Source organism: Homo sapiens, chromosome 18 (assembly GCF_000001405.40).
Source record: "Homo sapiens chromosome 18, GRCh38.p14 Primary Assembly".
NCBI classification, from domain to species: Eukaryota; Metazoa; Chordata; class Mammalia; order Primates; family Hominidae; genus Homo; species Homo sapiens.
This window is the reverse complement of record NC_000018.10, coordinates 76,060,985-76,086,037: the sequence shown is the minus strand read 5'-3', so window position 1 is coordinate 76,086,037 and position 25,053 is coordinate 76,060,985. Positions and strand designations below refer to the sequence as shown.

At 42.4% G+C, this 25,053-nt stretch overlaps 4 annotated features.

Annotated features, from left to right (window-relative positions):
* Positions 1,225–1,724: an enhancer, noted in NCBI's record as "H3K4me1 hESC enhancer chr18:73796269-73796768 (GRCh37/hg19 assembly coordinates)". NCBI's record gives its function as "activates a minimal SCP1, AML or CMV promoter by ChIP-STARR-seq in primed H9 embryonic stem cells {active_cell/tissue: H9 hESC(primed)}" and the evidence as "EXISTENCE:reporter gene assay evidence [ECO:0000049][PMID:30033119]".
* Positions 1,725–2,226: an enhancer, noted in NCBI's record as "H3K4me1 hESC enhancer chr18:73795767-73796268 (GRCh37/hg19 assembly coordinates)". NCBI's record gives its function as "activates a minimal SCP1, AML or CMV promoter by ChIP-STARR-seq in primed H9 embryonic stem cells {active_cell/tissue: H9 hESC(primed)}" and the evidence as "EXISTENCE:reporter gene assay evidence [ECO:0000049][PMID:30033119]".
* Positions 20,453–20,952: an enhancer, noted in NCBI's record as "OCT4-NANOG-H3K4me1 hESC enhancer chr18:73777041-73777540 (GRCh37/hg19 assembly coordinates)". NCBI's record gives its function as "activates a minimal SCP1, AML or CMV promoter by ChIP-STARR-seq in naive H9 embryonic stem cells {active_cell/tissue: H9 hESC(naive)}" and the evidence as "EXISTENCE:reporter gene assay evidence [ECO:0000049][PMID:30033119]".
* Positions 20,647–20,847: a silencer, noted in NCBI's record as "peak3186 fragment used in MPRA reporter construct". NCBI's record gives its function as "represses an SCP1 promoter by STARR-seq MPRAs in K562 erythroleukemia cells {active_cell/tissue: K562}" and the evidence as "EXISTENCE:reporter gene assay evidence [ECO:0000049][PMID:32103011]".

Sequence of the window (25,053 nt, the reverse complement as noted above, 5' to 3'; positions counted from 1 at the left end):
GATGTCACTGGGAGGTAGAACCAAGAGTGGCTAGTGTACAGCTAGACTTTGTTGCTTAGTTATAAGTATATTGAGGGGTGGAGGTCTGAATGTTGGTGAAATCCCTAGAGTTAAGACTCCATGAAAATATCAACACCCATGCCACAAAGGAAAAAAACTCTCTGTGGATTTGCCAGATTTACAGTTTGTTGATAAAAGTCAAATAATCCAAGAGAAAATAGTGACTCTTTTCTTATTTTATGTCCTCCACTCAGCTTCCTCCTTTCTCACTTACTTCTTGGGTGGCTTATTAGCAAGCTAAACTCAACACAGTCAAGTTGAGAAGAACAGTGACTTAGTGATGAATGAGTGCCTTATTCTTCTAGTTGGTCAAACACTTTACTGAGTAATTACTGTTGATGGTGATGGCGATCCATCTGGAGCTGTCACTGTGAAGACACTGGCTGCAGCGAGGGAGGCATAGCTGGGATTGGGTGCTCAGAGTGGTATGGAACCAGTGGGAGTCAGGGACAAATGGGATCCCCACCCTCTACTGAGTTGGCAGGGTGAGAGCCCTGTGCTCCCAGGCACAACTGCAGCCACCCAGCTGTGGCTGCATACCCCAGCATCCCTGTGCTTTTAGGAGGCCTGGTAAGCCCCCCTGCCCCTGCAGACTCAGAAGTGCCTGCTCCCACTTCCTGGTCTCTCCCCACTCCCACCAACCACCGTGATTTCCAAACAAAGTTGGGGTCAAGCCTGGGTGCTGTCATGACCTGGTAGGTATGTGTGCACCCAGGGAGACACTGACATGCCAGCCCCCTGCTGCCTTGGCACCCTCCAGACTTTGGGTGCTGACGAGCATGGGAGGGAGGCCAAGAGGGGGCTGAGGGTAGTTGGGTGCAGGCCTGCAGGTGCCCCTTGTCAGGAACAGCCTGGGAGCCATGGACAACATGATTGATGGTGGCAGGAGGCAGACAGGCTCCTGGGTGGAAAGGGGCAGGTCCCCAGTGAAGCCTCACCTCCAAGCCAGGGATGGCCTGAAGCTGGGGGCTAGGCTATCAGTTCTGGGTGGAGACTGTGGCCCAGAGTGAGAACTTATGGTGCTTTTCCTGGGCTCACCTATGGCCACCTATGGACCAATCAACATGCACTTTCCCCTTTCTGAAGCTCTTAAAAACCCTGGACACAGCCAGACTCACAGAGACATTGGGACAACCTGCCTGGAGAAAGGAGCTACCCACTGCCGGTCTCCTCTCTGCTAAGAGCTGGACACTTGTCAGTACAACCTGCCTGCAAAAGGAGGTACTCACTTTGGGTCTCCTGAGAGATGTTTTGTCTCTCAATGAAACTTCTCTCCACCTTGCTCACCTTCCACTTGTCTGTGTACCTCATTCTTCCTGGCTATGGGACAAGAATTCAGGACCTGCTGAATGGTGGGACTGAAAGAGCTGTAACACAAGCAGGACTGAAACATGCTCCCACCACTCGCCAAATTGAGGGCAACAAGGAGAGAAGAGCTGTGGTCCTTTGGGGAGCCCAGACCTAGGGGCTCCCTGAGCTAGGACTGTGACACCCTCTTTGGAGCTCTGTGGCTCCTGGCATCTGCAAGATTCTGGGCGCCACTGCATTCCCCTAATCCAGACACGGATGCCCGCAGTGAAAGCTGTGTGAGGTACATCTGGTCTAGCTCCAGCCTCACACAAAGCCAGCACCTTTGTCAGTACCTGGAGCTGCCCACCCAGCCATAGCAGCCAGTGTGCTTGGTGTGTGCAGTGGCCAGATCCTGCACTCACTTGCCCTCACACCCCTCACTTCTCTGGGCCTGGCTTGCCCTTGGCACGTATGGGATCTGGGCTGGTAGTGCAACCCCAGTGTAGCCTGCCAACCCGAGTGGGCGGAACAAGCCCAGGGGGTGTGAGCAATACTCAGGCAGAAGGTGTGCCCAGCCACAGAAGTTTCCAGCTGGTGCAGCAACACCCCATGCATCCTGTGACACTGTGAGCTGACCCAAGGGATACTAGTGGTCTTGACAAAAATTACTAAGTTGATTATAAAATGTTTGAACGTGGTTATCAACAATAAAATTAGCAGAATTGTGACAGAGAAATGATTTTAATTGCCTACAATTTCTAAAAATAGTATATGTGCATTACTTGCATGACAAAAATGAGGCAGAGCATGATTTTCTAAGAAGAGGAATTTGCTGGGGAAAATTCTGTCCAGTGTTTAAATAAGCCAGAAGTTTCAGGAGGATTCTTTTTTTTTCTTTAATAATCTGTAATCAAAACTATTGATATATCTTTTTTCCTTTTTTTTGTTTAAACCATGTTCTTGTTTTGAATCTAGATAAAAAATAAAATATCTCTACAGTTATTCTTAAAGGCCATAAAGCAGTGACAATTCTACACTGATTCATGAAAACTTTCTGCTCATGAGTTGTAATTGCAGGGCTAATCCTAGGTAATGGGAACCACCAACAATCTTTTTAGGAAATGATGATGTTTTGATCTTTGCTGCAGGGTCTTTCTAGGTTTTAGCTTCTTGAGACGAAGCAGAGGTCTACTGAATGAAAGCTTCAATTTCTGAGGTTTAAAAGACCTTGTTGGAATCAAGCCTCTTTGGGATGAAGTACATTCAGCTGAGTTTGTATTAATTGATGAGATTGCAAGAGATGCTTGTCTAAAATCTTTAACAAATACTGAAACAAGAAATTCTGTTCACTTTTCTTAGAAACATGCACTGGAAGAGACCTCTATGGATTATTCTATTTATTTCCTGGCCTCCTAGCAAACTTGATCTAAGCTTCCCAAATAGGTTCAGCCATGCTGCAAGAGTTTTCCTGCAGTGTACCCATGAAGTAATAGGGAGGCAGGTTGGCGTCAGGAAACACGCCACAGGGCAGTGCTAGCCCTTTATATGCATCTTGAAATTACAGCCATGCACTCTGGAGTGATGCTTTTTTCCTGTGTCTGATGTTTTAATGCCTTTTTTTCCTGGTACTAACTGTGGAGGAGGTGCTTAAACTTCACTTCCCAGGCTGACGAGGACTCGATGTCCGGGGCAACATCCTCAGGGCTCACCATGGGCTGTCCACTATTTATCAGTCTTTCTTTCTTTCTCTTTCTTTCTTTTTCTCTTTCTTTCTTTCTTTCTTTTTCTTTCTTTCTTTCCTTCCTTCCTTTTTTCTTTCTTCCTTCCTTCCTTCCTTTCTCTCTCTCTCTCTCTCTCTCTTTCTTTCCACAGAGTCTCGCACTGTTGCCCAGGTTGGAGTGCAGTGGCACAATCTCGGCTCACTGCAACATCTGCCTCCAAGGTTCAAGTGATTGTCCTGCTTCAGCCTCCCAAGTAACTGGGATTACAGGTGCCCTCCACATGCCCAGCTAAATTTTTTGTATTTAGTAGAGATGGGGTTTCACCACGTTGGTCAGGCTAGTCTCGAACTCCTGACCTCAGGTGATCCGCCCACCTCTGCCTCCCAAATTGTTGGGATTACAGGCGTGAGCTACTGTGTCCAGCCTTATCAGCATTTCTTCTTAATTTTTGGCAATGCCTCTTTTACAGATATTGCTTTACTTCCGGTGTCTTTACCTCGGCCACAGAGACAGGTGTTCAGTTTCCTGGGGGCTGCAGGCGAGGCGCCAGTGTACCCACAGTGCAGCTAGTGAAGCGGTCATTGCAGGCAGGAGGGGACAGCATCCCCCTCAGCAGGAATGCACAGGTGAAGCCCCATCAGCACCTGGAGCTGTTCACCGTTGCTCCACGGACACCCCTAAAAATGCCCTGACACAGATGACTGGCTGGGAGGCTCCATGGAAGGACCTGTGTTTGTCCATCTGGAAGCTGTTCTTCAAGATCCCCAGCACCCAGCCCGTGAGTCCCTGTGAGCCCCCCTGCCTCGATCTGCAGGATTTGAGGCTGCTGTGAAGACCAGTTAAGTCCTGGAAAAGCAGCCAGGGGCTGCAGACCAAATAGTTGCTGCTGCCACCCACGATGAATATGGCATCTGGAAAGTTTTCCTTTGAAATTAGATTATGTTTCACAGATCAATAGCGTCTTCTTTATTTAATCTTCCCGAGGGTGATAGCAAGCTAGGGAGAGAAAGGAACACGGCTTTATGAAACCTACCCGTTTGTTTGCTGGCTCAGGTGTCTCCCACTTTCACACCAGCATTGGGGAGAATTCCTCACTCTCCTGTCTCTCCCTCATTTCTGTGGCCACGTGTGGCCGCTGAATGCATTGGTACTAGGCTGGCAACCAGGGCAGGATGGGGAGCCAGCTTGCGGCGGGGAGGCTCGTCCTGCATCCTCGACTGGGCTCCAGCTGCCTGACGACTGGAGGATGGAAGTGCCAGCCTCTGGTCTAGAACTAGGCCCCTGGGGCAGCACCATGGCCGGCACCGTCCATCAGCACTTGCCTGGAAGCGGCATCACTGCACCTTAGGAGATGTGGGGCTCCCAGGCTGGAAAAGCACCTCCCCTCCCTCTTCCTCAGTGTTAGGCTGCAATTCGTTCCCATCCTGCAGGAAAAATTAAAAAACTCAGATCTCATCTTTGCCTTCAAGATCATTTGCCCAAATCTGGGAGCACAACTTCCTCCTGGAGGTGGAGAAGCACAGTCTGTATGAGCAGCAGGCCTACCACCGCCAGCCCTTTTGGATATGCTGGGAAGTGAGTCCACTCTGCTGGAGTCCACGCCCAATAAACTTCACAGAAGCCAGTGCTCCCAAACACTGGCTTAAAGAGGACAAATAAGTCATTTAAAGAAAGATATTGTATGGTGTTACCTGTCCATCATAAAAAGGTCTAGCCTATATGGTTTTATAACTTTGCCAAGTCTTATTGTGGTGTTTGAGTTTAGCCTGGACAGTGGCTAAATTTGGAGTTCCTTATTTATTTATACTTTCATGCAAGAGGGTCACAGTGTGTGTGGACAGAGGCAAGTGTGTGTATGCACAGATTACTTATCTGCCTGGGTGAGGATCCTTCCTTCTGGCTGCCTCGGACCTTTGGTCACAAACAGACCTTTCCATCGTTTGGACAGATTGAGTTTTCCCAACTCATGTTGCTTCTCCAGGAATGAAGAACATGGGGCTCCAGGACCATGGGGTCAGTCTGATCACTCCTTTGAAAAAATGTTTTATTAAGTTTTTAAATTTTTTATTGTGTTCATGTCAGAGCTCCACACCTTCTGTCTTATGAGACATGCTCTGTCCAAGGGAGGCTGGTGAGCCCAGGGGCTGGGGAGGTGCATCGCGGCGTGGCCTCTGGCATTTCTTTATGACAGTATCCTTCCAGCCATTGTAGCCTGCTCCGTGCAGAAGCATGGTTTCAAATTCTGCCCTTGAAACATGGATTAAGCAATGTTGCTAATACGTATTTGTCCCTGCGCTGTCAAACATTTCACTGATTCTGGAGTCTGCAGACAGCTTAATAGCCAGGTCCTCTGTCAGCATGACTGCGGCTGTGTCTGCTTTGCTTTAAGATGCCATTGAGATTTATTGGAGAAATAGGTGCAGAATGATACCTAGTTAAGAACAGCACCTGGTTATGTATATATCATCACAACTCACGGACATCCAAAGTGACCAGATGAAACGGACAGACCCTGCTTGCCAACAGGCACCAGCCTCAGTGTGGGAGGTGAGAGCACCAGCCCCTGCCCATGTCTCCGCCACACTGTGCACACGGCCTGCGGAACACGGGCACCTCTGGTTGCAGAAACTGGGATCCGCTAGTGATGGAATTCCTGAGATCATTGATGTAATTGATTTTACTTTTTTCTTTTTCAAAATACAGTGTAATTGCTCTTCAAACACAGCACCTTTAGAATAGTGTTGGTTTCTCTGTGTATGATTCTCTAAGACATTCTTCCATTTTCTTTCTCTGTAGCTTTTAGTATATAAGAAATAGGTGGCCGGGCGCGGTGGCTCACGCCTGTAATCCCAGCTCTTTGGGAGGCCGAGGCGGGCGAATCACGAGGTCAGGAGATCGAGACCATCCTGGCTAATACGGTGAAACCCCGTCTCTACTAAAAATACAAAAAATTAGCCGGGTGAGGTGGCGGGTGCCTGTAGTCCCAGCTACTCCGGAGGCTGAGGCAGGAGAATGGCGTGAACCCGGGAGGCAGAGCTTGCAGTGAGCCGAGATCGCGCCACCGCACTCCAGTCTGGGGGACAGAGCGAGACTCTGTCTCAAAAAAAAAAAAAAAAAAAAAGAAATAAGTAATTAAACACTATTTTCATCAGTTTATGGCAGAGATGATTGGACTGTGCTTCAAGATAATATTATCAAATACCTCAATCCAAATACGTTAGAAACTGCATTTTGATTACATAATTTAAGAAATAGATTGGCATCCATTTATATATTTATGATGAAGGTGAGTGAAACTTAGCCATACAGGGTTGTGCGAACTCTTCTAGGTGGTGCACAGTAGGCCACATTTCTCTTCCTGTTAGCATCTCATACTTTTCATAACATCGTTGTTTAATAATGATGTATTCACTGAATGAAAAACGAATGAATACATAATTGCTTATATTGAAAAAATAAGTCAATCTGTGGTTCACATGGCCTTTGATCTATATGCATTTTCTAAATATATAAATATATGCATTTCTAAATATATCCATTTTAATCCATACATTTCTGAATATATAGTTATATTTTACATACATAATACTTTTTTACATACAAGGGCCTTCTTTTTTTTTTTTTTTTAAACTAGTGAAAGACACTTAACTTTGTCCAGGAGCTGGTTCCCCTTATGCCTAGTAGAGGCTGTTTAGGTTCAGGTCTCCACACTGAATCTAAAATTCATTCTTGGGCTTAGGACATGCATTTTAATTGATTGGAAACAATCATGATAATTCCACCTCCTTTGTCGCGTGAAATGGAAAGACGTACTTCTGTCTCTTGAGACAGGAGGGCAAGCCTTCAGCCTGGGCTTCTGGGACAATCATTTTGGCATTTCACCTTTAGCATTAATGAAGAAAAAATGCAAGTAAAATTGAAAAGATGGAGAATGACAAGTGCTGGCGAGTGTGTGGAGCAGCTGTTACTCCCCCACCTTGCTTGCGGGTGAGTGAAACTGTTTTCCACTCTGGCCATTTGCGGGGCCGTTTCTCGTGAAGTTAAATATGAACTCAGCAAAGAATCCTGCCATTCCATTCATAAGAATTTACTCAAGAGAAATGAGCATGTGTATCCACACAAAGCCTTGTGCACACTTGCACATGAGTGTTCATAGATGCTTTCCTTATATTCACTCCAAACTGGAAACAACCCAAATGTCCATCATCAGGTGGGTGCATAAACAAGTGACAGTGTCCCCACCGAAGGACAGAGTGCTACGGAGCGGTCCCCAGGAGAGAGCTGCAGAGGGCACAGCAGCACGGGTCAACCTCCAACACAGGCTGCTGAGTGAAAGGCTGGGCCCTAGGAAGTCCTGGACCAGGCAAACTCTTCCATGCTGACATTCACAGATTCTGGCTTTCTAGGGGCAGGGTGGGAAAAGGATGGACCGGAGGGGAGTGCACGGGAAACGTTTGGGGTGATGGAGACACCCTACATCTTGTGTAGGTGATTACAATAGTGTAATTGCATTTGTCAAAATGCACTCAATTGCATACATAAAATGGAGATGATATTTTGCGTAATTTATAGTTTGGTACAGTGACTTTTAAAAGAAAATCACAGAGATGCAAGAAGGAGAGACCATGTCTTCTGCGCCTGAGCAAGCAGTGGGCAATGCTATGATGCTCAGGGCACCTGCTGTCCTCTGGCCCTGAGTGGAGACAGCAGCTGGAATGAGGACGGACTCATGTGAGGTGCAAAGGATCCATCTTAAGGATGTCATTACGCCACTGAATTTCCCAATCCTGGGATGAGTAACTAGGTATTTTGGAAGAAAACAAATTTTTCTTATTGTCTAGTCTAATCTTCTTGATGTTTTGAAGTATTTTTATATATTTTTATTCTTCCTGGTCACTATCCCCACAGACTACATCTGCATTAATCATTTATTCCTCACCACAGCCCTAGGAAATAGAGTGGGCAGCTGTAAGAATTTTGCTTTGGAGGATGAAAGCATCTTTGGCTCAGAGAGGGTGAATGACTTGTGCCATATCACAGCGTTATTTAGGAGGGTGCTGGACCTACCTTTCTGGTTTAAAAAGCCACTCTTCCTCCTGTTACACTGTTGTTAGCTCACAGCTACTGATGACACTATTATTTCCTCCCCTCTTTTCCTGGCATTCATGTTTTTATTGGTGAATTATCACTTTTCCGTGAAGACAGAGTTGGAAAGATGTTGAGAACTCCCCCACACACTCAAACAGCTCCACAATGACTGTTTTATGGAGGTAAACATGTACATAAAAGTGGAGGCCTGCCCACCACATGTGCGCTGCATTTATTCATGGGAGAGACAGGCGACAGACACTGTCCTCAACTCCATCGACCCTACGGTGTCTGAAAACAAGGACAGGCCAGAAAACAGGCATGTTGTGAGAGGGTCTCTTTAGCCCACTGTGTGACCGGAGGGTCTATTTCAAATAACAAAGAGGGAATTTACTACATGTTAACATCTTGAATTTCTGCCTACAAATCAACACTATTTTCAATCTTCACCTACTTACTTATCCACCTATTAATTCAAGTCTGGATTAATTCTTATTCAAAGACATTTCAGCTCATGCAGTATTTCAAAACACCCCTATCCAGTGGGGTGGAATCCAAAGAGATAGTGACAAAACAGATATTTAAGCCTTCTGACTATCATAGAAACTCCAGGTGAGAATCAATCTTTTGGGTGTTGTCTGAATTTATCTTTCCTATTTTAAGCAGTTTTACTTGGACTTCTTTCTTTTTTTCCAGAAATTGTTGTTTATTTGTGCCTTTTAACATATTTCTCACTGGATACTGAAGGCAGGAGGTCCATTCTTCTCAGTTTGTCTACCTTTAATGTTAATGATTATAACTCTTGAGTTATTTTGGATTGTATACAGACAGAGTGGACACGAGGCTATTTGTAGATAAGTGAACATTGAAAGTGGTCACATGTAATTATTAAATGTTTTTCTTTACCTTCATGTCTTTCCAGCTAAAGTAATTCATTGATGCTTTCAATCTTTCATCCCCAAACCCTGTGTTGAGTGCCTGTCATAAGCAGAGTTGGGAGTATGTCACTGTATCCTTGATGATATTGAAGCAGAGGTGTTGATAATCTCCCTACAACTACTCATTGGCAACGTTCATGAAGACTCACCGGAGTCACTGAAATTAAGCCATGCAAAGGGGGCCTCCTCACTTCTGCTTTCTCAGGGCTGCCCTTGTGCCTTCCCCATTTGTATTGGCTGCGTCCGTCTTCACCCCATTGTCCATGTTCAAAACCTTGACTTTGTTTAAATTTCCCTCTCCCTTTCTCCCAACAGCTACATAACTTCATTCCATAAAAATTCTTCCTTATCAATGTCTCTAGCATCAAATCCATTGCCACTGCCCTCAATTAGAAGCAGTGCTTGGTTCAGATTTCCAGTATATTCTGTGTGCGGCTGCCATGGGAATCCTCGTTCAAGCTTTCATCATATCAGCCTCCTAGTAGAAGATTTCAAACACTTTTCCTTGCTTATGAGATAATATTCCAAGCTGCTTGTTTGGAATTCAAGGATCTCATGTCACCCTGATTTACTTCAGCCTAAGATGACTGAATTGACACTTTGCATTATTGCACTCCAATAATGTTTAAGTCCTAACGTCTAATACTAAGAAAAACTGGCTAATTAAATGCTGCTGATAGTGTTTCTATTTCTACATTTTTGTTTTGGTAAAAATATTTTAGTGAGACTTATGGTTACATAAAGCTTCTGCTTTTCAAATAAAGAAGTTTGAAAAACTGAGCAATTACATTGCTTGATATAATAGCCCATTATGCTGCTTCCGTCCTGCGTGGAGTCACATTTCTGCTGGTTGGTAGCCTAGAAGCTGCACCATTTTTTCTGAAGTCCTGAGGTCACCTGCAGAAGAATCTCAGCAGTCCAGAGGAATGGCTGGCACAGCCAGCGAGCATGACTCATGGAACCTGGAGACCCTGCTGTGGATTCCCAGAGACGCTGGATGAGGGAAATCTGAAAGGCTGAGCTTACTGCAGAGCTGGGTATAGTAGCTGAAGTTACTGTTATTTATAAAATAAAGGGAACTATAGCTGTTGGAGGGCACAGGAGTCTGGGATACCTGGGTTAGAGGACCTTGCTAATTCTCAATTCTGTGTATCCTTCACTGTAGCCAGCTGATAGATGGGCTTATTTGTGAACATGCCTAACACATGCTAGATTTTCTGACCTGGGCAACTTCCTGTCCTCTCCACACACCTGTCACATCTTTCAGAGCTGACCTAAGCCCCACCTGCTACCCGATGTTGCCACAGGTTCCCAGGAACCTCTGAGCCATGCTGCTGGTTAATTTTGCTCAGACAAAGCAGCAGAGTCAGTCCTTGCTGGAGCTATGGGACCTGCTAAGTGGGCTCCTGTTTCCAGTTTAAAGCTTTTCATCTGGAGGAAGGGAGCTCTTTTGAATTACTAGTTTAGTACAAATTTCTCAGGGTGAGATAACTGGGTCAGACTATGAATGCCATCATAGTTGTAAACCATAATTTGGAGCAGTAGTGATTTGGTTTAGAGTTTGAAATAATTAAATAATCTATTTTATTTTATGCCAAAGTTTATTCCCATGATTTATGCATTCTTCATACTCACTGGAAATACCTCTTGTGCTGCTATAACAGAATACCACAGACTGGGTACTTACAAAACAACAGAAATTTATTTGGCTCATGGTTGTGGAGTCTGGGAAGTCCAAGACCAAGGGGCCCACATCTAGAGAGGGCCTTCTTGGCCAGGCCATCCCACGGTGGAAGATGGAAGGGCAAGAGTTTGAACTTGCAGCGCCCCCAAGCCCTTTTATAATTGGCATTAACTCATTTATGAGGATGGAACCCTCATGACCTAGACACCTCCTATTAGGTGCCAGCTCCCAACACTGTTGCATTGGGGATTAACTTGCCAAAAAGTGCTGCGGTTTACATGTGTCCCCCAGAAAGCATTGTCCCCAAATGCTTTTGGAGGGGGACACATTCAAACCATAACACTTCTCATTTGAAGTACCACTTCTGCTGTCATTATTACTATTTATTTTATTCCTACATGCAGTGGACACACACTAGGGTAATCGCCCATGTGGAATACCCTGTATAAGTCCCATCTCTTGAGTGTGCTGGAAGCTGTGACTTGCCAAGACAATATGGCAAAGCTGAGGGGGATGTCATTCCCTTGACGAGCTTACATTATATAGGCTCTGTCTTGGCAGGCTGGAGACAGAGATTCTTCTGCCTGCCCTAAAAATGTAAACTTTGCTGTGTGAGAGGGCTCTGCATTCTGGGAAAGGGTCGCATGGCAAGGAAGAGAGAGTGGCCCTGGCTGACAGCCAGCAGCGAAACAGAAGTCTTAGACGTACAACCGCAAGGAACTGGGTTCTGCCAACAACTGTGTGAGCTTGGAAGAGGACTTTGAGCTCCCCAAGGTATCTGGCTGATACCTTGATTGTCACCTTGTGAGACCCTTAGCTAAGAGCCCAGTTTAGCTGTGCCCAACGTCCTGACCCATGGAAATTGTGAGAAAATAAATGTGTGTTATTCTAAGTTGCTAATGTGGTAGTTTGCTCTGCATTTGTGGAAGGCTGAAAGATATATATATGTTAATCTCTGGAATCTGTAAATGCAATATTGTTTTAAAAAAGGATCTTTATAGATGGAATTAAATTAGGGATCTTGAGATGAGGACATTTTCTTCGATTATCCCAGATATATCACAAAAGGCCTAAGAAGAGGGAGGCAGAGGGAGATTTGAAAGGCTGAAGAGGAGGAGACAATGTGATCACAGAAGAGCTTGAAGTGATGTGGCCATGAGTCAAGGAAGGCTGGCAGCCACCAGAAACTGGGAGAAGCCAGGAACAAATGTTTCCCTTGAGCCTCCGGAGGGAGCGTGGCCCATAAACACCTTGATTTTGGCCCAATGATGCCAATTTCAGACTTGTAGCCTCCAGATGGAAAGACAAAAAAATTCTGTTGATTAAGCCCCCAAGTTGGTGGAAATTGTTTACAACGACCACAAGAAACTAATACAATGTCCATAGATAACAGGGACTTGCCAATAACCACAATTTGGTGAGCACTTAAGATGGGTGAGATTCTGGGATAAGCACCAGTATATATTTCTCAAACTTGCTTCCAACTTACAGATGGGTTGACTTTTTTTCAGAGAGATAAAGTGACTTCTCAAAGGTCACATGTTTGGATAGTGGCAGAGCTCACATCTGTAGGGTTCCACATTCCACACCCTTTAGTCTTATACCATGCTGCTTGAAAGGACCAGCTTACTTAACGCATTTAGTTGTGACTCATCCATAAAACCAACCGATTGGTACTAGCCTGGCAAGTCCGATGAGATAAACTTTCAGATGCTGAAGCCCCAGAGATGTGTCTCCACATTGCTGGTCAGGGAGCACAGTGCTTTGTCCCCCTCCAGGGTGCTCAGCGAGGCACCAGCAGCAAGTGTACGTAGCTACAGAATCACTGCAAAATGAGGCCAATGTCTCTGACGGGATCTTAGTCAAAGGAGATAGTCATGTCCTTAATACTTATAGAAAGGGGAACTCTCATAATGGCATAAGAAGTGACTGGTGGGTGAAGTAAAAAAGTGGATATTGAGTTTTAATGGTAGGACATAGAGAACCATTGCATCATGGAGGGATGGACTTCAGGAAGATTAATTGGGCAGCGTCTACATCAGTTCAGGTTGCCATAACAAAATACCATAGATTGAGTGGCTTCAAAACAGAAATCTATTCTCTCACAGTTTTGGAGTACAGAAGTCTCAAATCAGAGTGTCAGCATGGTTGGGTTCTGGTAAGACCCACTTCTTGGCTACAGATGGCTGTCTTCTTGCTATGTCCTCACATGGCTTTTCCTGGGGGTACATGTGAAGAGAAGGGAAGATTTTTCTATGTCTTCCTCTTCTTTTAAGGGCACTAAATTCCATCCTGAGGGCACTGCACTTGTGACCTCATCTAAACCTCAAGGGTCCTATCTCCAAATAGCATTCCATTGGAAGTTACGGCTTCAACATGTGAATCTCGGAAGACACAAACATTTGGTCTGTAACAGACAGCAATATTAGGATAGCTTTGAGACACTGGAAGCCAGGGGTATTATGTGTTACTTGATGCCAATATCAGTTACCACCTCAGACATTAGTCTATTTTAAAAAAATCTGTAATTATTCAAAATGCCATAGGTCAGCAACCTGGGTGGTTCTTCTGTTGGGCTCAGCTGGGATCATTCGTATGACTGCAGTCTTCTCATGACCTGACTTGGAGTATAAAGCTATAAGATCTCATCCAGGTTTGGAAGTTGGTTCCAGCTGTTGGCTAGGGTGCCTCAGTTCTCTTCCACATGGTGTGATATCTTATTTCCCAGTAGCCAAACCATCTTTGCAAGACAGTCACAAGGAAGTGTTTTAAGTGACCAGAGTGGAAGTTGCTCTGAACTTAGCTCTGAAAATGTCACTCTTACCCATTGCATTAATCAGACCAATGTACAGAGGCAGCCTAGATTCAAGAGTGTAAAGCTATCAACTGCATCTTGATGAGAACAGTGACAGCTTTACATGGCAAAGGGCCTTGGACAGATGCAGGGAAGTATACTTCATGGGATCATAGTTAATACACTCTACTGCAGCCAGTACCAAGGCTTTGCAATTTTTCAGGACAATTATAATATGAATTTGAGTTGAGATGTTCATAAAAGAAATGGAGAGAGAGAAAGGAATGATCTCAAGTGTTAGGGTAGAGACTAGGATCCTGACTACAGGTAGGAAGCATAGCCTCGGAGGATAAGAAATGACCCTCATGCATTAAATGTTAGAGTCCTGGAGGCTTTGATGCCATTGTGAGAAATAGGAAAATCCGAACAACAGGCTTATGGGCCATAGAGCGGAATTGCTCTAATGCCTGTTTATGCAACTTTAGAATTTTCTAGGAGAAGTTAATATAACAATTACTTGAAAATGATAGATAATGTAATGGGTAGAACTTCAGTACTAAAAGGTAAAATTTGAGTCTGATTGACAAAGTAGAGATAAGATAATTGGTTTAAGAAAAAACTTACGTATTAGGGGCAGAAGAAAGACAAGCTTCAGAAATAAACCAAAAGGGCTGTGGATATCATTAAAGGCAGTGGAAGAAAATTTTGAGAAGGAAGAGATGCCATATGATTCAGAGAGATCATGAAGAACATAATATAAGAAAAGCCATTGGCTTTGGGGATTAGAAGGTGAAAGGTAATATTGAAATATCTAATTTTATCATATTTCATCCAATTTATGATTCCATTGATCATAAGACTAATTCCTATTTCAGACATGCTAAAATGTGAAAAAATGTTTTTTCTTATAACTGAAAAATTATTGTAGCATATAGGAAGCAAAGCCAGATTGACAGAGAAAGAAGTGGCAGTAAATGACAAGGAAGAGGACTCTGAAGAAGTAGTGTAATTATTTTAAAGATGTTTAATGAAAGAAAATATAAACTAGGAAACAGATGCAAGATCTGAAATAAAATTTTGTTTGTTTGCTTGTTTGTTTATTTTCAGATTACGATTTGTTTGATTTCAGACAGACAAGAAAGAACCAGTGGAGACGGAAGAGAGAATTGAAGATAAAATAAAATTTTAGAAGGAGGAAGAAATAGGGTTAAAACCTAAGGGAAGATTTTAGCTTTGGAAATAAAGAGATTTTTGTTTTTTATTTTTTATTTTTATTTTTATTTTTATTTTCTCTACGTAAAGAAGAAAATGGAATCTCTGGTTCCAGTCATAATGGAGAAGCTCGAATTAGAATAATCACCCCTCTCTCCTAAAACAACCATAAAAGCTGGACAAATTATGTAAAGCAACAGTTTGATGGAAGTGGTGGGAAATGCTGTGCATAAGACTTCAGGGGCTACCGTCTCTCAGAGAAGGGAAATATACAAAATTATTTCCATACTCACCTCAGAAAAACACAGGAGGAATAGAATCCAAGAAGACAGTGGCAATTGTACTAGCTGAGGACACACAGGTCAGATCCAAGCCTGCTAAAGCAGTTGGTCTAAGAGGGCAAAAGTACCGTGGTGAAGGAAATCACAAAGAAATCACTCATACATTCGTAGAACATTTCTCTCAATTACTGGCCAATTTCTAGGCTGCATATTTGCAAAGAAACTTTCAAGAAACTTAGTAAGAAATAAGAGCTGGCAAGATAAAGAGATGAACAAAGATTTCAACCATGGAGGGTCTGAGGGAAAAGTAGTTAGAGTTCAAGCACTGACCTGGAGGAAGAGCCTCGATATGTTATCTGGTCTATCAGTAGAGGGCTCAGAGTCCATGTCCCAGGACAAGGTTACACTCTAGAAATAAATACCATTTCTTAGGAATAAGTACCATGCACTAGGAATATACAACATAATCAAATAGATATTCTGGATCTGAAAAATACAATATCTGAAATGGAGAGTTATTGGATGAGTGTAACAGAATACTGAACTTGATAGAATACAGAGTTAATGAGATAGAAGAAAAGCAAACAAACAAAAATCCAAACTTAAGGCAAAGAGAAAAAAAAGTTAAAAAAATGGAAAACCTAGAAGAGACATGGGATAAAGTCAAAAGGTCGAACATATGTGTAACTGGAGTTCCAGAAGGCACGATGGGAGATATTGGAAAAGAAACAATGTGAAAATAACATGGCTGAGAAATTTTCAAAACTGATAAACAACATCAGCTTACTGATTTTAAGAAGCTCAAAAACCTCAGTTTTGATAAATATAAAGCAAATCATGCCTGGGCACCTAGGTACTTCCAACTCAGTGTACTAAACCACTGCCCTGCCCACCCACCCTCCAAAAAAAAGTGGGGGGGAGAGAGAGAGAAAGAGAGAGGAGACAGAGAGAGAAACTAAAAGTAGCCAGAGTTAGAAGACACAAGGTAACAATAATAAGACTTAAAACTGATTTTTTATAGAAACTATGAAAGCCAGAAGACAATAGAATGGCATGTTTAAAGTGTGAAAGGGGGAAAAAACTACATATAAAATTTTATAGTCAGAGAAATCATCCTTTAGAAATAAAAGCAAAATAAATAATTCAGTTAAACAAAAGTTGAAATAATTCAATGCCAGCGTGAGTTATTTCAAGAAATAATAAAGGTAGTTCTTGAAGCTAAATAAAATAGCTTCAGTTTCCAGCCTCTAGGTTTCAAAATATCATACAATGCTATTGTAATAAAAACAAGATAGTACTGGCATAAAAACAGACACATTGACCAATGGAACAGGATTGAAAGCCTAGAAATAAACCCAGTTATTTAGGGTTGATTGATTTTCTCCAGAGGTGCCAAGAACACACAATGGGGAAAGGATAGTCTCTTTAACAAATGGTCTTGAGAAAACTAGATATCCATATGCTGAAGAATAAAATTGGACCCTATTTCACACTATATAAAAAAATCAACTCAAAAATGAATAAAAAGACTTAAACATAAGACCTGGAACTATAAAGCTACTAGAAGAATGTTGAGAAAAAGCTCCATGACACTGGTCTGGCCAATAATTTCTCAGATGTGACTACACAAACTCAGGCAACAAAACCAAAAGTAGACAAGTGGGATTATATCAAACAAAAAAGGTTTCTGCATAGCAAAGGAAGCAATCAACAGAGTGAAGAGAGAATCCATGGAAAATATTTGCAAACCATACATCTAGTAAGGGGTTAATATCCAAAATATGTAAGGAACTCAATAAACTCAGCAAGAAAATAGATAATTTGATTTCAAAGATGGGCAAAGGGTCTGAACAGATAGTTCTCTAAAGAAAAGATGTGAAAGGCAACAAATATATTAAAAACCTTTGACATCTCTAATCATTAGGGAAATGCAAATTAAAACCATAATGAGATATTACAAAACACCTGTTAGTATGGCTATTATTAAAAAGATGAATGATAAGTGTTGGTGAAGCATGTGGAGATAAGGAAATCTTGTACCCTGTTGGTTGGAATGAAAATTAGTACTCATTTTGGAAAACTGTATGAAGGTCCCTCAGAAAACTAAAAATAGAATTACTATAAGATTCAGCAATCCCAATTCTGAGTATTTAGCCAAAGAAATTAAAATCATTATGTTGAAGAGATATCTGCATTTGTATGTTCATTTCAGCATTATTCACAATAAATAAAATATGGAAGCAACCTAAGGGTCTGTCAGTGGACGACTGGATAAAGAAAATGGTGTATATACACAACAGAATACTATGCAGGCCTAAAAAAGTGGGAAATTCAGTCATTGGTGGCACTGTGGATGGAACTGAAGGACATACGCTAAATGAGATAAGCCACAAACAAAAAGACAAATGCTGTATGACCTCACTTATATGTCGAATTTTAAAAGTCGATCTTATAGAAACAGAGAGTAGAATTGTGGTTGCCAGAGGCTGGAGGAGGGGCGGGAGTGGGGAACAGGAAGTTGTTGATCCAGGGGGAAAAGTCTCAGTCAGACTGAAGGAATAAGTTTTTAGTGATCTGTTGCAGTGCATGGTGACCGCAGTTAATAATAATGTACTGTGTCATTCAAAATTCATGAAAGAATAGATTATTAATTTTCTCAGCACAAAAGAGAATAATAAATTGGTGGAGGTTATAGGTATGTTAATTAGCTCAATTGAATCTTTCTATAATATATACACAGATCAGGCTGGGCGCGGTGGCTCACACTTGTAATCTCAGCACTTTGGGAGGCCGAGGTGGGCAGATCACGAGGTCAGGAAATCGAGACCATCCTGGCCAACACTGCAAAACCCCATCTCTACTAAAAATACAAAAAAATTAGCCGGGCGTGGTGGTGGGCACTTGTAGTCCCAGCTACACGGGAGGCTGAGGCAGGAGAATGGCGTGAACCTGGGAGGCGGAGCTTGCAGTGAGCCGAGATCGCGACACTGCACTCCAGCCTAGGTGACAGCAAGACTCCGTCTCAAAAAAAAAAAAAAATATATATATATATACACACACACACATATATATGTGTATATATACACATATATATGTGTACATATATGTGTACATATACACATATATATGTGTGTACATATATGTGTATATATAGATACATAGATATAGATATAGATCAAAACATCACATTGTACTCCAAAATTATACATAATTAGTGTTTGACAGTTATAAATAAATAAATAATAGATATTTTTAAAAAGACTTTTTTAAAAAGAAAATGACTCCAGATAGGATAACACTGCAGGAAGGAAGGACTCTACTGAAAAGGATAAATATATTGGTTTTCTAAAACAACAACAAAAATACTATCTTATGTAGTTTATAATACACACACGTGCATATATATACTATGTAGAATATAGTAGTATATCAAAATAGTGCAAAGGGCAAAAGAAGAGAAAAGACACTGGACAATTTTAAGGGGCTTGTCATGTTTCAGTAGTGGTAAGTTAATTGGTTTACAGTGGATTGTGGTAAGTCAGGAGTGCCTTTTGTAATCTTTAGATGTCTAGGATCTAAAATAATAACTTTATAAGTTATTATTTTAACTAAATAATAACTAAAATAATAACTTTAAAATACATAAATTAGGAAGCAAATAGAAGATTTGGATTTTAATAATTTGCTCTGTAGGTGGGTGTGGAGGCATGTGCCTGTATTCTCAGCTACTCGGGAAGCTGAGGCAGGAGGATTGCTTGAGCACAGGAGTTCAAGGTTGCAGTGAGCTATGATGCCACCACTGCACTCTAGCCTGCATGACAGAGTGAGACCCTGTCTCAAAACAAAAAAGGAAAAATTAATAATAATTTGCTAGATGAAGGTTATACAGCAATGGAAAAGTTGAAAAACAAGAAATGGAAAAGTGGTACCAAAGGTGGAGTGAAGACACACAGAACAACATCTGTGCAAAGGCTGGTCTGGATCTTCTTGAAAAAGCAAAATTGAAGGCAGGGAATCAGCAATTGGGGACCAGGATGTGAGTGTGGAAGGAGCGAGAGGAGGTTGGAAATGGTGTTGATGTAGGAGCTAGACTAAAATTATTTAGGCAAATAGTGAAGGTAACAGAGTCTTCGGTAAGGCCTCCCTTTTATCAAAAAGCAGCCCCCAAATCATTTCTTTTCTAACAAAGAGCAGCCTGTGAAATCGAGCTACAGACAGAGATAAGCAAGCTAGAAGCTTGAACAGGTGAATGCTGGTAGCTGTGCCAATAGGAAACGTCTACCTGAGGGCCAGCCGTGTTCAACATGGAGGCTTCATTTTCCTTTTCTTTGTCAATCATGTGTGCAGTAAAGAAGCAGGCACCATGGCACCAGCCAGGTAGAGAACCCGTTTGCATAATAAAAGGTGAGGGCGGGACGGCCGGCTTCTTTGCACGCTATGCAAATGGTACGCCTGGTCCAACCGATCTCTCATGCCCTATGTAATCAGATACCAGCTCCTCAAGCTCATCTATAAAACCCCTTGCATTTCACCAGGGAACCTGAAGACCCACTTGGGAGCCCCGTCTCTTTGTAGGAGAGAGAGCTTTTGTCTTCTTTTTTCTCTCGCCTATGAAACCTCCGCTCTTAAACTCACTTCCTGTGTGTCCACGTCCTCGACTTCCTTGGCGTGAGACAATGAACCTCGGGTATTGACCTGAGACAATGACGCAGCTTCAGTGTTGAATGGAATAAAAGGAATATGTGTTTTTCATTGGGGTGACTACAAAGATAGTAGTTGGGACTAGAAAATATATTATTTTGTGCAGCCAGTGCTCCTAGTTTAGGACTTTCTCCCAGAAAATCTAGGCAGATGGGAATGCAAGCAGATAAAGTAAATGAAAGGGTTTACCCATGTTTGTGGGCTAATACGCACATAGGTCAGGAGGATGAAGAGAGGGCCCTCGAGGAGGTGACCTGGAGTGCTGTTCACACAAATCATCTTTTTTTCTCTTTTGGATAGAAAGGAGATTGAGACCTAGAAGCAATATTCATAGAGTCATAAGGAACAATAGTTTTATAACATGTCCTTGGCATTGTCCATGCAGCAATATTTTTCACAATAATTCTGATCAAGTTTTACATTTTAAGTACATGTTATATTTTAAGTACATTTTAAGTTTTATATTTTATGTACTTATTTAAAATAAGTAATCTGTACTTATTTTACACTGCATGGAATTTGTGACTGTATTGGAAAATCATCTTGTTCCATGTATCAGATCCATTTTATAAAGGTGGTAGCATGTAAGTTTTTGTTTGCTAAATTATATTTTCATTCAATCATCACACATTTTTGGAGGGTTTGTCAGAGTCACTGTCCTACTGCAGAAATAGTATTTGACACATATTTTATTGAACACATATTTGCTGGGCACCCACCCTGTGCCAGGCACTGTGCTTTAACCTTGATTACATCAACAAAACAAACAGACTAGAAATAAAAATGTATGGGATTTTGATTCTAGGAGGAGGAGATAGATAATTAACCATAATAGTATAAATCAGTAAATTATGTTCACGAAGAAGTGCTAAGCCTGTGGAAGGGGTAGAGGAAGATGATAGGAGGATGAAGCTACTGGGAGGTGAGTGAGTGTGGTTTGCATTTTAAAAACAGCATGATCACAGCAGCGATGATTGGAGGACATTGAGGAGTTAGTCATGTGCTTATCTCAGCCTAGACCAAGGGGAAGGCAGGACAAGTGTCCTGTGGGAGGAGACCGCCTGGCAGATTCCAGGCGCTGCAGGAAGCCTGAGCAGCTGGGTGTGGTGGGGGTGGAGTGAGGGCTGGGAGAAAGCAGAGTCAAAGCGGTGAGAGGGGAGGGCAGACAGGTAAGCCTGCTGCCCGCGGGAAGACTTTGCTTGTGTTCCAAATGAGCAAAATGGGAGGCCTTGCAGGTTCTGAGCAAAGAAGGAGTCTGCCTTCACCTTCCTTAGGCCCTAATAGGGTTACTCTTGCTGCAGTGCAGGACTGGGAAGGGATGAGGATGGGAACAGGAGCAAGTTCAGAGGCTTCTCCCATGATCTGGGAGGAAGATTGACCTATAAGATCACGCAAATGCTGGGGACTGGTGGTTCCAAGTTCAGCCAAATGGCTGAGTGATTTCCAGGCACTGGATTTCACATTTTCTACAGTTCTTTTGGCCTTTCCCTTCCAGCAACAAGGCATCAGCTACGGCTTTAAAAAATAATGTCTCCAAAGGCCCAGAGGAGTGAGCCAGCAATGCACGGGAGGGAGGGAGAGCTGTCTGCAGGTGTGCGTGTGTGTGTGTGTGTGTGTGTGTGTGAGCGTGCACAAGTGTATGCATGGTGCCAGTCTGCTGGGGTTTTTTGCTTTTTTTTTTTCTCTTTAATGAGGGATGAAATAGCTTTTACAGAAGTTGCAGCCGAACTCCCCTTCTGGCCAATGGGCTTCACACTTCCTCTGGCTCTCTGGTGACAAGGTGTGGAAAGAGAGCATCTGACAGAGAGAAAGGGATAGTCTTGAATAGTTTAGTCCAAACCCCTAGCGCTGGCCATGTTGCTGCCTAAACAAGATCCAGGCTCTGCAGCAGGGAAGAAGGGATGCCTGCTCACTGGGAAACAATGGTGTCTGCCATCCCTTCCCAAGGGCTCCCCACTTCTCCCCACGTTCCAGGCCGGCCCATCCCTGGCCCAGCCTCAGCGAATGCTGCCTCCTCTGCACTCCCATAATTCCTAAGATCTTTCTGTATTCACTTTCTTTCTGGAATTTAACTTTTTTGAAACCCATGCTATTGAAACTGGTGTGCAAATCAGTGTGCCAAGCAGTATGGGAAACTGGCTGGGCGCAGTGGCTCACGCCTGTAATCCCAGCACTTTGGGAGGCCAGTGCAGGCAGATCATCTGAGGTCGGGAGTTCGAGATCAACCCCTGCTAACATGGTGAAACTTCATCTCTAGTAAATATACAAAATTAGCTGGGCATGGTGGTGTGTGCCTGTAATCCCAGCTACTTGGGAGGCTGAGGCACAAGAATCGCTTGAACCCAGGAGGTGGAGGTTGCAGTGAGCTGGGATCACACCACTGCACTCCAGCCTAGGTGACAGAGTAAGACTCCATCTCCAAAAAAAAAAAAAAAAAAAAAAAGGGAAACTAGAGGGGAAAAGGTCTCCTAGAGCAGCATTTTTACCCACCTTTTTTCCCTTAAAATTATCTAATACATTTTCATGTAAAACAATTTTTTTTAACATATCAAGGAATCAAACACAGATCTTGGACAACCTTCTGAGAGGGGCCAAAAATGTTCAGGAAACTTTGGTCTTCTGTAGGACTGTTTTGGGATATGCCCCTGCTATCTGCTTGGCTGCATCTTATTCCTCTGCTATTTGGGGCACTTTGGTGGACATTTTTGAAAAGCCTCGAATCCACCGTACTCATGTTTGACCCAGATGCAGCCACTGTTTGTATTACTCTCACTGTAGTGCTAAAAAGAGGGGAGCCTGGAGAAGGAGTTTTTGCTGGAAAGCAAGCAGCTTTGGAAAGAAATAAAGAAAGAAAGGAGTGAGCTCTCCACTGAGTAGGTAGATCCTCTGTCGCTTATGTTGTCAGGGTCTCGGCTGACTATCACTGAGCTGCACCCGCAAATGCCTGGTAACACACGGATGCTGAAGTTCAGCCACTGTGTTGCATTTTTCATCGGAACACCAGCCTCTGCTCTCTCTTCTTCCACCTTTAACTATTCGTGGATGCCTTGCAATTGACACCTTACTATACGGAATTCTCTAATTTCCTGTTCAGCAAAGTTTAGTTTTTCTATCTTTGAAAGGGTTATTATACTTGATACTTGATACTTTACTGTGGATTACTTGTTTTATTGCTGGTCTGAGTTCTGTACCTCTTTTTTTTTTTTCTTCTTAGGATTATAAAAACACAAGAGGTACTCAGGAAATACTATTTCATAGTTTATTAAAGTTTTTGATTAATTGATTATGATTATGATGATCTATTTTCCTTCCAACCCTCTAATAGGCACAGAGAAAGCTCATTAGGTATTGGGGCTGTGGTGGTTTAGCTACCCCATTCCAACTGGCTACAGCTGAGGCTTCAAGAATGGCTGTCGCTGTTCACACTATGCTCACTGTAGTGCTAAAAGGAATGGAACCTGGAGAAGGAGTTTTTTTCCTGGAAAGGAAGTAGCTTTGGAAAGAAAAAAAGAAGTAAGTGCTGATATGTTGAAATTAAAGAAATAGCCATTCTGACATAGAGACTGTGCTTTAGACCTATTGCTGAAGAGGCTACATAAAAAATATGTGCCACATTTTCTTTATCCAGTCTAACATTGATGGGCATTTGGAATACTATGCAACCATAAAAAAGAATGAGTTCATGTCCTTTGCAGGGACATGGTTGAAGCTGGAAACCATCATTCCCAGCAAACTAACTCAGGAACAGAAAAACAAACACCACATGTTCTTACTCATAAGTGGGAGTTGAACAATGAGAACATATGGGCACATGGAGGGGAACATCACATACTGGGGGTTGGGGGAAAGGGGAGGGATAGCATTAGGATAAATACCTACTGTAGATGATGGGTTGATGGGTGCAGCAAATCATCATGGCACATGTATACCTATGTAACAAACCTGCACGTTCTGCACATGTATCCCAGAACTTGAAGTATAATAAAAAATGGAAATAAAAAAGCAAATATGCTAACTTGTGCCTATTTTGAAAATATTTCTTCACCAAAAATATTATGAATAGCTAATATTGTTTTCATTATTTTAGTTAAAGTGATCATCTGCATGAACCTCACAGCAGCCCTAGGAGGCACGCACTGTCACTGTCCCCACCATTCAGAAGAGGAAATAGGATTAGCAGGCCCAAGAGTTAGCCCACGGTCTCACAGCTACTGAGACATGGAGCTAGAATTTACATCCCAGGGTCCATAATGAAGTCGCTGTTCTAAACTTATGAAACTACTTTCCTCATAATTTCTCTTTCACCCAATTCTTCACTTTCCTGTGAGTGAAGGAGTTGGGGGCCTATGATGTCCACTTGGGCAAAAGACTAAGAGACCCCACCCAAAGCTGCTGTGTTTATCAGGGAAGCAGGAAATTAAGCACAACATAAAAAATAAAATTTCAATGAATCAAAAAAAAAAAAAATAAAAAGGAACCTATGTAATGGGATAGAATATTTGCAAATCACATGTCTGATAAGGGATTTGTATGTTGCATACATAAAGAATTCTTACAACTCCACCACAAAAAGACAGCCCAGTTAAAAATAGGCAAAGAGCTTGAATAGACATTTCTTCAAAGAAGATATGCAAGTGGATAACAGACACATGAAGAGATGCTCAACATCATTCATTAGTCAATAAGAAAATGCAAGTCAAAGAAAGCCACAGTGAAATAGCACTTCACACCCATATAGGATGGCTATAATTAACCAACCAACCTACCAACCAATCCACCAACCAAAAAAACAAAAGAGAAAATAACAAGCAATGGAAAGAATGTGGAAGAACCGGAATCCTTATACATTGCTGGTGGGAATGTAAAATGGTACAGCCACTGTGAAGATCTGCAACAAATGAACAGAATTATAAGTTTGGCATCCTCAACAAGTTAAACGTAGAATTACCATACAAACCAGTAATTCCACTCCTAGGTATATATGGTGAAGAATTGAAAATAGGGACTCAAACATCTTCATGTACATGCATATTCATAGCAGCACCATTCACAATGGCATAAAGGTGGAAACAGCCCAAATGTTGATCAAGAGTTGATGGATAAAGAAATTGCCGTATATCCATAGAATGGAACTTTATTCAGCCCTAAAAAGGATTTTGGAGTGATATACTCATACAGGCTAAAACTTGGATGAACCTCAACAATCTTATACTAAGTGGAAAAATCCAGACATAAAATGTCGTCTATTGTATGATTGCATGTATGTGAAATATTCAGAATAGAA